The 15,229-nt window shown below is 40.3% G+C and overlaps 1 protein-coding gene across 38 annotated transcripts in view; it reads right to left on the bottom strand.

The window, feature by feature from the left end:
- ATG7 (autophagy related 7) overlaps positions 1-15,229 on the bottom strand; it is a 303,957-nt gene that overhangs the window by 239,815 nt on the left and 48,913 nt on the right. For 36 of the 38 annotated variants that reach the window (XR_007095622.1, XR_007095623.1, NM_001349232.2 and 33 more), the window contains 2 exons: positions 5,111-5,199; positions 3,446-3,567 (listed from right to left, as the gene is read on the bottom strand). The exons of 1 other annotated variant lie outside the window; for it this stretch is intronic. Coding sequence is in view for 34 of the 37 variants with exons in the window: in NM_001349232.2 (NP_001336161.1) it covers positions 3,446-3,567; positions 5,111-5,199 (211 nt within the window). In the remaining 3 variants the exon portion in view is untranslated. The remainder of the gene's footprint in view (positions 1-3,445; positions 3,568-5,110; positions 5,200-15,229) is intronic. One more of the 38 variants, NM_001349238.2, reaches the window with a different exon arrangement.

The following is a 15,229-nucleotide window of genomic DNA, read 5'->3' as shown; positions in this document are numbered from 1 at the left end:
GTATTTACCATAAAGTTTTATTTACAGCTAAGAGGGAACATATTAATTTACATGAAAAACAGGAAATTCATTTGCCTTTCCTAAGCTAAATAATCTACATTTAATATCAGGCATTAAGAAGATGTGTTAAAGGCATTAGTGGACGACAGAAAACCTTTTTCAAATGGAAATGTACGGTGTGGTTCCTGAGTTTAAATGTCAGCATCGGCTGGACGTGTGACTCACGCCTGTAATCCTAGCACCTTGGGAGGCTGAGGCAGGCAGATTGCCCGAGCTCAGGAGTTCAAGACCAGCCTGGGTACACGGTGAAACCCCGTCTCTACTAAAATACAAAAAAAATAGCCATGTGTGGCGGCGTGTACCTGTAGTCCCAGCTACTCAGGAGGCTGAGGCAGAAGAATTGCTTTTGAACCCAGGATTGCAGTAAGCTGAGATCCTGCCACTGCACTCCAGTCTGGGCAACAGAGCGAGACTGTCTCAAAAAAAAAAAAAAAAAAAAAAATGACCGGGCACAGTGGCTCATGCCTGTAGTCCCAGCACTTTGGGAGGCCGAGGCGGGTGGATCTGTAATCCCTGCACTTTGGGAGGCCGAGGCGGGTGGATCATGAGATTAGGGGTTCGAGACCAGCCTGGCCAACACAGTGAAACCCCGACTCTACTAAAGATACAAAAACTTAGCAAGGCGTGGTGGCACGCGACTGTAATCCCAGCCACTCGGGAGGCTGAGTCTGGAGAATCGCTTGAACCCAGGAGGCGGAGGTTGCAGTGAGCCGAGATCGTGCCATTGCACTCGAGCCTCAAGCGACAGGGCAAGACTCTGTCTCAAAAAAAGCAAAAAAAATGTCAGCATCATCAAGCATGAGCCTTATCATAGAGAGTAGGATGTAAGAATAACTCAGTGACTTTGTCATAAAAGTGGAAAGAAAACTGCCTCTCTGCAGAGTGGTTGGCAGAATTAAGTGATTACCCCATGGAAGGTGCCTGGCAGCTTGTCAGACACACAGACCAGACCCACATTACTTTTTAGCTAACTCTCACCTCATTCCCTAAGACCACGCTTGTCCAACCCATGGCCCAGGACAGCTTTGAGTGTGGCCCAACACAAATTCATAAACTTTCTTAAAACATTGAGTTTTTTTGCATTTGTTTTTTAGCTCATCAGCTATCATTAGTGTTAGTGTATTTTATGTGTGGTCCAAGACAATTCTTCTTCCAGTGTGGCCCAAGGAAGCCAAAAGATTGGACACCCCTGCGACTATCTTTAAGTGTGGTTTAATAAAACAAAGGTATAGCATGTAAGTTAACATTACACAGGAGCTATTTTAGAATTTGCCAGGAGAGGGTGCTACATCCAATGCAAATATCTAAAAACAGCAGAAAGGCAAAGGCTCTAAACTGAAAAGCAGCATCGTCCTTTGATCAAGCAGAAGTACTCTGTCAATCTTTCAGCGAATTGTGTAAAGACATCTGTGTTAGAGCATAGAATCGCTGAAAAAATGTCATGTGGGCCAATCCTGAATCCTTCTGACTGTAGCACTCTAGAAAAGATATCTCAGAAGAGATTTTTTTTTTTTTTTTTTTTTTTGAGACAGAGTCTTGCTCTGTCACCCAGGCTGGAGTGCAGCAGTGCAGTCGGCTCACTACACCTCCACCTCCCAGGTTCAAGCGATTCTTCTGCCTCAGCCTCCTGAGAGCTGGGATTACAGACGCCCGCCACCACACGTAGCTCATTTTTGTATTTTTAGTAGAGACGGGGTTTCGCCATATCGGCCAGGCCAATCTCGAACTCCTGACCTCAGGTGATCCACCCGCCTCGGCCTCCCAAAGTGCTGGGATTACAGGCATAACCCACGGCGCCTGGCCTTGGAAGAGATTTTGACACCACCTCCCCCATCACACACACACACATTTTAAGGCATATCTATGGCATAAGGAAAGAAATGTGCCTTGGAACCATGAGGATGATATAAGGAACAAGCTAAATAATATATATGAGGCCAGGCTCAGTGACTCATGCCTGTAATCCCAGCACTTTGGGAGGCCAAGGTGGGTGGATCACTTGAGGTCAGGAGTTCAAGACTGGCCTGACCAACATGGTGAAACCTGTCTCTACTAAAAATACAAATATTAGCTGGGCATGGTGGCGGGCTCCTGTAATCCCAGCTTCTTGGGAGGCCGAGGAGGGAGAATCACTTGAACCTGGGAGGCGGAGGTTGCAGTGAGTCGAGATCATGCCACTGCACTCCAGCCTGGGTGACAAAGCTAGACTCTGCCTCAATAATAATAATAATAAATGTTGTGAAAGTGCTCTGAAAAGCATATAAATCACATAGAGATGAGGAATTATTCTGGCAAGAAGTATAAAAGTGCTGGGCTTTATGTGAGCTAGGAAATTTACATAACATTTATTAAGCACCTATGATGTGCCAGACATCGTGCTCTGACTTTGACATAGGACATGGATTCCGGGTAAGAAATATTCCCGAAGCTGGCCGGGAGCGGTGGCTCATGCCTGTAATCCCAGCACTTTGGGAGGCTGAGGTGGGCGGATCACAAGGTCAGGAGATGGAGACCATCCTGGATAACACACGGTGAAACCCCGTCTCTACTAAAAATACAAAAAATTATCCGGGCGTGGTAGTGGGCGCCTGTGGTCCCAGCTACTCAGGAGGCTGAGGCAGGAGAATGGCATGAACCCGGGAGGCGGAGCTTGCAGTGAGCCAAGATCACGCCACTGCACTCTAGCCTGGGCGACAGAGTGAGACTCCATCTCAAAAAAAAAAAAAAAAAGAAATATATCCGGAGCTGGGCATTATATCCTTATTTTACTCAAACTTGAATATGTATTCAATCTCTGTGACATATGTAAATATATATATGTGTATATATATATACACACACACACACATATATCTCTCTATAGATAAAATGTCTCTCAGTCTAAGTTTCTCAATTTATAAAATGGGGGTAAAAGCTGATAACTGTCACATAAGGATCAAATGAAGATATTAAATGTGGAAGGAGAAATGGCATTTTTCCTGACTGGTTTACTATATGAAGAACAGGATCACATACAACTTTAAGTATATAACAAATAAATATTTAAGTGCATTAATACTTCATCCTTCCTTTAAGAATGGACAGGAATAAAGATTTTGTGTTAAAGAAAAGTAAAATTGAAAACGGGGGGAGCAGAGGGGAACAAATCCTGAAGACTGAAAAAACTGCCTAGAGAAAATTTCCTGGTCACAATCTTTGCCTTTGTTCCAGTCTGAATAGCAGAGCATGCCCTCTGTTCGAAGTAGGTGTCTGCATTGGCAAAGAGGTACAAGTTGTACTTTTCTCTTCCTTTCTTCTGCCATTGTGACGATATGAAAAGAAAGTAAACCTGGTTCCGTTTCTGATAAATGATAATTATATGCATTTTCAAAGACCGGCAAATTACCTGGGCTAAATGCCATTTCTGGAAGCTTCACTTCGAAGATGATGCTGTGGGCAACGTCTCTCGCCCCCTGCATGGTACGGTCACGGAAGCAAACAACTTCAACAGACTGGAAACTGCTACTCCTGTTGTCATGCCCGGATTTTTATTTATTTATTATTTTTTTTTAAAGGAAGGAAAAGAAAAAGCTCACATAAGAGCTTCAGCAAACCAGTTGGAGAGAATTCAATGCATTCTAATTATGCCTCTCTGATACCCACAGGAGATGGCCTTAACTCTTTTGAACATATTCATATATGGCTCCTCTGTCCAAGTGTTTAGAGGCTGAAAAATGAATTGGCTGTGATTTCTTTCTAGGTGATTTCTTTCTACAATCATATTGCACATAAATAATTCCGACAAGTAAATCTTTTAAATGCGGAAAAAATGCTCACAAGACATTTAGAAAAAATCCTCTAGGACGTGGGTTCTTTTGGTTCCCTCTGCTCTCCCCATCTGAACTTCCATATTAAGCAGCAGTACCTCAGTCAGTAGTTAGGAAGCCCATTTGCACTGTGTAGACTTACCACCTGGATAATTGTAGATTGTCTCCCTCAGAGAACAATCTATAATTTATCTATCTTCATATTTTTAAATAAACATTTTTATTTAAGTAAAGCAGACACATTACACAAATCCCAAGTATAAAGAAGGCTGTCTTATGCCTTCTCTCAGTCATTAACCACTGCCTTCAAAAGTAACAACTACTCTAAGTCCATACATTGGTTTTGCCTATTTTAACTTTACATAAATGGAATCATGGAGTATGTATTATTTTAGGTCCAACTTATTTCACTTAATATTATGTTTTTAAAATTCAGCCATGCTGATCTCTGTATTAATAGTTCACTCAGATTCATTGTATATGACATTTCATCATAAGGGATATACTTAAATTTATTATTCATTTCATTATTGAAGAACGTGTGAACTATTCCCAGCTTTTGGTTATTGAGAATAATGCTTCTGTAAACATTCTTGTATATGTGTTTTGCTTCTATCTATGTAGGTATTTCAGTGAGTAATATACTTGAGAGTAACATTGCTGAGCCATAGATATTTTTAATTTTGGTAGATACTGCCCAACATTTTTCCAGCAGTATTTGCTCCACATCTTCGACAACACTTGGTACAGACATTTTTATTAAATACTTTTGGTGGATATGTAGTAGCATCTCATTATGGTTTTAATTTTTATTTCCTTAATGACATGATGTTGGGCATCTTTTCAAATGTATATTGGCTTTTAAGATATCCTCTGTTTTAATTATTTTAGGGTTAAGAAAAATGGAGAATGACAGCAGTAGGAAAATCCTATCTGAAAGAAACCCAGACAGCTAGAAGGGAGGGCTACAGAATTTGTGTCAGGACCTCTGGCTACCAACTCTACCATACACTAAAACATCTTTAGCACAGAATGATCAGAGTATGCAGGTCCCTAACAGACCTGCTTAAGGTTCACTAGTATGGAAATTGGGTTATGACTGATTTATTGATTACCTGGTTTCCATGCCCAAAATGAAAAAATAATGCATTTAGGAAAACAGAGATACAAATAGAAACAGACACATTGTAAAACATATACTGGCAAAGGCAGACAGACAGACAAACACACACTCTTGTAAATACCATCTGTGGGCTGCTAGGACCAAAAAATTCCTCAAAGGCCATCCAGGGTACTGGGCTAAGTTACAGGGATCATATACACCAATTGTTATCTGTGAACAAAAAAGACTTTCTGAGTAAGTCGAGTATCATGTCAGCTTCACAATACAGACATTGCTCATACTTCCTCTTTGCTTTTTTATGCTTTCTGCAAAGCCTTAAAAATTAAACATCTGGTAAAGGGCTAAGGGGAGGAGAAGAAAGCCACAGGATCTCACACTGCACTACAGAACTTCTTGATAGCAGGGGCTATCAAATTCTTGTCTGCACCCCCTGTGCCTTGCATTGTGCCTGGCAGAAAGTAGGAGCTAAATACACGTAGAAGGAAAAAAGACTGGAAGGAAGATGGGGAATGAAGGAGGACAGTCAAGAGAGTTTGTAGAGAAAATCCTCTTGTAAACAAAGAAATATAATCTGTGAAAATTGCTCATTTTTATGCAATGAGAAAATCAAAGAAGGGCCACTACCAATGTAAGTGTACAGTCAGATCAAGTTAAACAGCCAGTTACTCTTGATTTTGCTAACATATATTTCCTCCCTCCCCTTTCCCATCCCACTCCAATCCCGATCTTCATCTGGAAAACTCTACTCAATTTAAAATACCGTTTCTTCAGTGAAGACTTCTGCTGGCAGAAGTAGTTGGCCTGTCCTTGCTGCTTTCACAGCTCTTTGAACCTTGTATATAACATTTTTCATTTTCTGTCTCCTTCCTTTCAAAGACAATGAGCACCCAGCACCCAGATACTGACTTCTAAATACCATTCTCCAAGAAAATAAATCGGGGCTCCTTGGACACATGGTTAATTCTAGGGCTCAGGCAGGGAAAATACAAGAGAAGCTTGGAGCATCTTATAATATCAGGAAAGAAGGAGGTACTCAAAAAACAAATGAATTGGGGCATGCCAAGGTGATACAGGCACCAACTGTAAGAGTTATCAATAGCCAAGGCTGGAACAATTTGTGCAACAATATAAATAATATGATGTTGAATTATAACCCAAAGTATAAAATAAGTATCTACGAGTCCACACTGATATAAATAAAGAATGGAATAAATGTGAAGGGACAAGTCTTCCTTAAAGAAAATTTCCAAACTATATAAGCAAATACTGGCCTCTTCAGAAGCAAAATTTAAACCTTCCCCTCCTTAAAGGTAGCTGGAATTACTGATTTACTTTCAAAGAAAAAATAGTATTTTTACAGTGGAGAAACCTGGCAAATATTACCTTAAGCAAGCAATCAATTTAACATTACCAAGGATGTCATGTGGATATCAGGTGATAAGGGTACTTCACTCAGTGGTATTTTTTCCAAAAACCCATAACCCCAGTCTAATCACAAGAAAACATCAGACAAATGCAAATTAAGGGACATTCTATAAAAATAACTAATCAGTACTCCTCAAAAATGTCAAGGTCATCAAAAAAAATCAAAGAAAGCCTGAGAAGCAATTACAGATCAGAGGAAACTAAGGAGGAGACATGACAACGAATTGCAATGTAGTATCCTGGACTGGATCCTGAACAGAGAGTATTGCAGGAAAAAACTGGTGAAATCGGAAATGTCTAGAGCTGAGTTAATAGTAATGTAAGAATTCTGGCTTCTTAGTTTTGACAAATGAACCGTGGTGATATAATGTGACAACATTAGAAAAAACTGAAACTGGGTGAAGGTACATGGGAATTCTCTGTACTGTCTTTGCCACTATCTTCTGTAAATCTAAAATTATCCCAAAATAAAAAGTTTATTTTAATAAAAGGAAGACAAAGAGCATATGGAGAGCAGAAAGTATCTTTTTCATCTCTCCTTCATAAATACAGAGCAGACACTCGGTGAATGTTTTTTGTATGATAAAAAAGTAGATGGATGGATAAATGGGTGGAAGAAAGAAAGGAAGGATGTAGAGTGAGTAGGGGTGAGGGAGGGAAATTGCTGGCAGAGAACCATAAATTGACCCATAGGTTTCCTTCATAAGCATAGCATGGGTTAAATGAAAACACGGCTGATAAATTTTTGTTAAATCTAGATCCAGTTAGTTCTGTAAGGATGGAATCACCCTAAACACTCCCTTTTATTTCCCACAATGCTTGGTATAGTATCAGCCACAAAGTAGGAGCTTAACCAATATTCAGAAGAATACCCATAACCCCACCATCCTGAGAGAACTATTAACATCTTGGTGTATAACTGCCCATGAACTTATTCTTTGCATAAATATATTTTAATTACTAGGACTTTGAAACAAACATGGGATCATGCTATAAATACTGTCTTTGTTGTTGTTGTTTTGAGACAGAGTCTCACGTTATTACCGTTATTACCCAGGCTGGAGTGCAGCGGCACGATCTCGGCTCACTGCAACCTCCACCTCATAGGATTCAAGCAATTCTAGTGCCTCAGCCTCTCTAGTTCCTGGGACTACAGACAGGCATGTGTTACCACGCCCTGCTAATTTTTTGTATTTTTTCAGTAGAGACGGGGTTACGCCATGTTGGCCAGGTTGGTCTCGAACGCCTGACCTCAAGCAATCCACTGGCCTCATCCTCCCAAAGTTCTGGGATTACAGGCATGAGCCACTGCGCCTGGCCTAAATATTGTTTCATATCTCTTATTGTATTGTGAACTGTCTTCTATGCTAGTAAATGTTCTATAACCATTGTGAGTAATGGCTGAATGGCATTCCATTGTATTGATGTACCAAATTTTTTCTATTTCCTTTTGAAGGACAATTAAGTAGTCTTCATCTGCTCAATCTCTGAAAATGAATTTTACTATGGTCTTATCAGATATTTACTGTATTATTTCAAAGACACTCTTTAAAATATTTGCTACCTTTTCCGTTATATAAAATTTTCTTATTCCTAAAATTGAAGCATTTTTTTTCTAAATGCATGTTCGTTTCTTAAACGCAAATAGACAGATTCGTATTTAATTTAATACAAACAGGTTCATAGATATGGTCATCCTTTCAGGAAATATTTTTATTTGAGATTTCCTTTCCCACAGAGATAAGGTTTCAGCATCTAGGGCACTTTTAAAAACAGAGCTTACTACGCTGAGTAGTCTCTTACTAAATGAGGCCTAGGGAAAAGTACTCAACCCTCCAAGCCACAGTTTAATCATGGAGGAAATAATATATTACTTATTTCATAGAGCTGTAGTGAGGATTAAATGAGCTGATACTAAACATGAAAAGTCCAGCACATACATAGAGCTACTAATATCATTATTGGTGATAGACTCAGAATCTCCAGTGGTGAGCCCAGCAATCTGTATCTTTATCTGTACCAGGCTCCTGAATAATTCTGATGCAGCTGGTCCACTCCATGGACTTGAATTTGGGGTGTATTAGAGAGGGTGCTCTTACAGACCAAAGAAAACATCTCTGAACTGTCATTATCTTGAAAACTCTGGATTGGCCCTACATCTTCCCATACTCCTCAAAATGTGGTCCATGCCCCAGCAGCATGCATCCATCAGCCTTCCCTGGGAGCCTTCAGAAATGCAGAATCCCCGGCCTCCTCCCCAGACCTGCTGAATCAGAGTTTGCATTTTAATAAGAACCCAGGTGATTCATACACCCATGGAAGTTTCAGAAGCACTGCTCCTCCTCAACCTTCTAATGGCCGTGGATCTCAAACTTGAAGATGCTTGGGTATCACCTGGGGAGCTATCAAAAATACTGCTGCCTGGGTCCCACCTCCAGAGGTTCTGGTTTAATCGATCTGGAGTCTGGCTTGAGTACTGGTCATTTTAAAAGATCCTCAGGTGATTCTAATGTGCAAGTTACAAACTTCTTGATTGTCTGCAGCAATTTCTCAAAGTATGGTCCAGCAGAGACCACCTGCATCAGAATTGCCTAGAAGCTTGATGAACTTGCACAACACCCTATCCACACACATACATACACTCAATCTGATCCCAGACCTCTCTAGGTACCACCAATACCTGCATGTCCAGTGAATACCGCATGTGATTCTTATGTACACTATCATCTTAGCACTAGCTGTCTACAGTCAAAAGAAGAAAATATTTGCTTAAAAGAGGGTTCACTGCATAAATATACACAATTGTAAGAAATTCCTGACTGTAGAAAAATTAAAATATGGAGAAACAAGCATTTTAGAATAAAGAAAACACAGGATGCATGTTATATTTGATGTCTTGCTGGTTTATAACTCTCTGTGAAGGCAAGAGCACTGTATTCATCTTTCCATCTCTAGTTACCTAAGCACAGTGCCTGAGAGTCAGCAAGTATCTATTGAATAGATGACAGACTAGTACATTTCTCCAGGCTTCAATACACGGACTCCCCCTCTGCAAAGATCTTGAGCAGGGATCCTGGGAGGCAGCTAGAGCAGGAAAAGTGATGCCTGACTGACGCAGACCTGAAGCTTCCATACAAAACTGTGATGCAGCATCTCAGCAAGTTCCTTTTCCTTCCTTCTTTCCTTTCTCAACATTACAGGGTCTCATGGCATTTTAACCCTGGGATTCTCCTAGGTGAGAATGTGAAAGTAAGATTTAAAAAAAGAGGGCTTCGGATGAGAAGTGAGAGAACTCTGAGAACAAGATTTCCAGTCCAGGGCTTCCACCGAATTAAGAAGTTGTCTTCCTTGAGCTCTTCTGGTCCATGTGGCCACCCCACCTGCTACTCTTCCATCAGGGACATCTTTTTATTTTGCTCCCCTCTGCCAATCATGACAGATAGCGTCTGCCACACAACTACATTTATTTAGCAATCGTCGCTTCAACTTCACATTGCTTTTATTCATAAAAAGCATTTACAACTCTAGGCCGGGTGCAGTGGCTCACGCCTGTAATCCCAGCACTCTGGAAGGCAGAGGCGGGTGGATCACAAGGTCAGGAGATCAAGACCATCCTGGCTAACACAGTGAAACCCCATCTCTACTAAAAATACAAAAAATTAGCCGGGCATGATGGCGGGCACCTGTAGTCCCAGCTACTCGGGAGACTGAGGCAGGAGAATGGTGTGAACCCGGGAGGTGGAGGTTGCAGTGAGCCAAGATCGGGCCACTGCACTCCAGCCTGGGTGACAAAGCAAGACTCTGTCTCAAAAACAAAACAACAACAACAAAAAAAAAACAGCATTTACAACTCTATCAAGTGTAAAAAGGGGGAGAAGGGAGAAACTAGCATTTCTACTTCCAAAACATTGAAACAGCTTACAATTAGAAAATGGCCTGATGTAGTGAAAAACTCACTTGCTTAACAGTAAGCAGGTATGTGTTTTAATTCTGCAGCTAACTGATCCTAAGACATTGGGGGAAGTTCCTTTCTCTCCTGCAAGATGAAGGGGTTGAACCTTTCATCTCAAAGGATTTCTTCAGGCTCCAGAATCATAGAACTTTAGAGAATGTTTAAGAAGAAAATACCCTATAGGTCACAAAACAACACAGACTATATCAAAGCTCAATCTTACAGAGTATCTAAAGGGTATTCAAACCAGCAAAGGAAAAACAACAACAAAAAACACACAAAGGCTATTAAATGGGTTACTTAGGAAGAACCTAGGCAGTATCAATCTAGAAAATGCCGTTCCTACAGAGACACTGAGTTACAATTTGCAAATGACTTCATAAACCTGGGCCCTTAATCAAACATTCTGGATCACTTGCTCTTGTGTAACCTTTAGCAATTTACTTAACTTCTCTATGCCTTAATTTTCTCATCTATAGGATAAAATTTTTTTTTTTTTTTGAGATGTAGTTTCGCCCCTGTTGCCCAGGCTGGAATGCAATGGCACGATCTCAGCTCACCATAACCTCCACCTCCTGGGTTCAAGCAATTCTCCTGCCTCAGCCTCCCGAGTAGCTGGGATTACAGGCATGCGCCACCACACCCGGCTAATTTTGTATTTTTAGTAGAGACAGAATTTCACCATGTTGGTCAGGCTGGTCACGAACTCCGGACCTCAGGTGATCTGCCCACCTTGGCCTCCCAAAGTGCTGTGATTACAGGCGTGAGCCACCACGCCTGGCCTATAGGATAATTCTTAACTGCACTTAGCACAGAAACTGAGAATGAGGCCAGCGCTTAACAAATAGTAACAACAAAAGCAACATAAATACACTGTCTTGCAGTAACTTCATTGACCTCTTTGTTCAGTCCAATCCACCACCATGACAGTCATGCTTAACGATGGGGATGCACTCTGAAAAATGCATCGTTAGGCAATTTCACCGTCATACCAACATCACAGAGTGTTCTTACACAAACCTAGATTGTATAGCCTACTACACCACACCTGGGCTACCTGGTATAGCTTGTTGTTCCTAGGCTAGAAACCTGGAGAGCATGTGACCATACTTAATACTGTAGGTAACTGTAACACAATGGTATTTGTGTATCTGAACAAATCTAAACACATAGAAGGTATAGTAAAAATACAGTATTATAATCTTATGGAACCACTGCCGTATATGTGGTCCATTGTTGACTGAAACATCATGTGGCATGTGACTGTACATAGTTAGCTGTCTTCAGTTTCAAGGTTATTTTTTCTTAACTGGCAAAGAAAAGAAAGGGATAAGTTCTAGTCTATCAAATATTCTCGGGGTCTAGGCTTTATCATGTGCAAATGTAGAGTTGGAACTAAATGATATCTAAATTATATAAACTAGAATATTATGTTAGATGCTACAAGTGGATGCTTAATTTCAAAGAATAAGCATATTTCTTACCCTAAGGACAAAGGCAATGGGGTAGAATAGTGAAAAAAAAATCTTTTTTTGAGCAGAAAAGACTAGGAATAAGTTTCTTAGAGCAACCTGACCTAACATGGGCTATAGAGAGCAGGAATGATCTGCTAAGGAGGAAAATCTACCACTTACCCATAAAAGCAGGTCAGCTTGAAAATGGTTTAAGGTAACTTTCCTACCCATATGAGGCATAAGTGCAGAAGGCAGGCGTCGAATAGGAAAATGACAAAATCCATTTAACACTAAGCTGAACATCATTTAATCTTTCTTTGATGATTCAAAAGTGACCCCAAAATCTTTAAGTGCTTTAGGAATCAACTCAGAATCTATCTTAATCATTGGAGGAATGATTAGTTGGCACAATGCTAGGTAAGCCAGCTTATACTACGGTTAAACAGAATTTTTTAAAAAATATTTTTCATAAATAATCACTGACTAGGAGTTCTGGTTTTAGAACTGGCTTTGCCACAAATTAATTGTGCGAACTTGGGCAAATCACTTCCTTTTGTAATACAAATCAGCAGAAAGAAGCTCAACGTAACTGAAGAAAAACTTTGTTTAGAAGCTTTATGAAATAAATGTTCCTTTCTACTTGGCTGAGAGCATACAATTCATTGAAATGATTCAGTCATGATCAGTCTGCCAAGCAATTTGCTGAAAAAGTACACTGTGAGAAAGAAAAGAGGGCAAAATTGCCAACTTGCTTGTCTTCAGCAAGAACATTTTCCACAATGATCCCATAAAACATGCTAATCTAACAAATGGCTGTCTTTAGAACTCAAACACTTGATATAACAGGAAATGCACAAAGGAGATTACACGTTTTTAAAGTATGGGGGAAAAAACTGAAATACCTAATGCACTTCAAAGTCACAGACAGCTGCCAAGATGCGGAGAGATCACTAAGTGAAGAAAGAGCCCAACTAACAGCATATAAATTGTTGCTCCTTGGCTATTGCTCTTGTCCACAGATTTTAAAGCCCTAGAATTAAAGGCTAATGTTGTTGAAATTACACAACATTTCCCAAACATTCAATCTTCAATAACTGCTCTGAATGAAGTAGAAGAGTCAAGTAACCTTCCCCAAAAGATTGGTAATGGGACAATGTTATGAGCTATTTTTAATGTAATCACAAGAACTGGCCTGAAAGATGGTGATCTGTTGTAGCAATGGAGTGCGACTGTGGAATCCACATTTCATTGAGAGAAGAACTTAAGGCCCATTTTCAACCTAACACATGTGTACAATACTACAACATCTGATCCTGGTAAGGGTACACAGCTGGTAGGAGGGAAGCTGGCAGGGTCTTGGGGAAACATTTATGATAAGCAGTGTTGTGCTGGAGTTGGCCCATACAGGCTTTTCTGGGAGCCAACTGTTAATGTCTCTTTTCAATTCGGCATTCCAGGACTTCACACTGGTAGCCTGCAATTGGCCATGGTGGTAGTACTGGTACCATACAAGTAAGAAAACACTACAAAAACAGGACTATTCCTACCTCACAAGAGCTGGCTGTTAAACATTTACCAGCACACCACTGATTATGAACCTTAACATGTTCTAACTTTTTTTTTTGACAGTTTCATTCTGTTGCCCAGGCTAGAGTGCAGTGGCACGATCACAGTTCACTGCAGACTCAAATTCCTGGGCTCAAGGAATCTTCCTGCCTCAGCCTTCAGAGTATCTTGGACTACAAGTGTGTGCCACCACACCTAGCTAATTTTTAAATTTTTTGTAGAGACAGAGCCCTGCTATGTTGCCCATGCTGGTCTTGAACTCCTGGCCTCAAACAATCCTCTCACCTAGGTCTCCCAGAGTGCTGGGATTACAGGCGTGAGCCACCACGCTCAGCCTCAAACTCTGTAACGCAGTAATTCCGCATCTAGACATCTTTTCTATGGAAATAATTAAAACTACAGGGGATAAGGAGAGGAAAAAGAGGAAAAATTTGATGCACAAAGCAGTCCTAATAGTGAAAAAATTATGAGAAATATAAATGTCAAAACCTTGGTAAAAATACTATCATACATCCATTAAAAAGGATGTTGTGTAGAATATAATACTATTATGCTAAAATGCTACAATAAAACAAAATACTGTACAATCTTAGTTTTAAAAAATGCACAGGATTAAAAGGAAATATACAAAAAGTTTGTATATTAAAAAAACCTAAAAATGTAAAAGAATAGCTGAAAACCTTTGCGACATTTTAAAAACAGAGATATATAGCTGGAAGTAAAACTAATGAATGGAACCTCACCTAGTACAGTTCATTTATTTGCCAGTATTTCCAAAATGGTCATAAAATGGTCACAAAGCATTTTTCAAACTGCAGGTGGTGAGCTATTTGCGATTCTTAAATCATTTACTGGGTCACAACTAGAATTTTTCAAAAAGATAAAACAGAAAAAGGAAAGCATTATTTTGCAAAAGTCTTGTTTTGTTATGTGTATGTGTGGGTGCAGATTCAAAGACATGTATTGGGTTATAACAGGTATTTTTAACTATAAATGACAAAGAACTCCAGCATTAAGCAATCACAGTAACAACCATACATCACCCAAGAAGTGAGATGAAACCAATCACAGGCGCATTTGCTTTTGAGCTTTCATTTAAAGACAATACCATCAGTGAACTGGTAAAACTTTCTTGGATGTCCCGGGGGCTGCTGAACTGGCAACCCTGCCAATCTCAGGAGGGGCTTCTCTTATGCCTTCCTTTGGTAAAGGCAGAGTTGGCTGTGTGACTCGGGACCTTAAAACTCCATTTTTATGGAATAGCTGGAAACTGGGGTTAATCAAAGAAAATTTTCCTTTGAAAATGAAAACTGAAAAACATTCTAAGAAAATATAGTGGGAACAATTAGAACATGTGAGTGAAACTTAATGATTCTTAGTTCTCACAGCCACCTACAAGGAAGGGGGTGTTGTTACTGTATGCTTATACACACTGAGGAAACTGAGGCTCAGAGGGTTCGACCCATTAAGCTGTTGGGAACTGAAGTCTGGCCTTCCTACTCTACCCCAACACATTGTGAGCTGAGCAGAAAAAAAATGGCTGCTTCCTTTTTCACTATAGGAAGCATTCTCACTGTAGGAGGTAAGATCATTCACATTTGAAGAGGCTTCCATTCCCTAGTCTCTTTTCCATTCATCTCATCTGTAAAATGCAGACAACACTTCTCACTTTGCAGGGCATGTAAGGATAAGTGATAACATGTATGAGTGACCAGCTGCATGCTGGTCACGGTCAAAACTGAGACCATGGCAGTCCCAGCTGTTGGTGGCTGGCAATGTGTCCTCTTCAGGGGCAGGTACCCACTCTCTCATAGTCAGCCAAGGCTTCACACACAAGTGAACA

Source organism: Homo sapiens, chromosome 3 (assembly GCF_000001405.40).
Source record: "Homo sapiens chromosome 3, GRCh38.p14 Primary Assembly".
NCBI lineage: Eukaryota > Metazoa > Chordata > Mammalia > Primates > Hominidae > Homo > Homo sapiens.
Note: the sequence above shows the minus strand (reverse complement) of the source record. Positions and strands in the feature narration are given on the sequence as shown.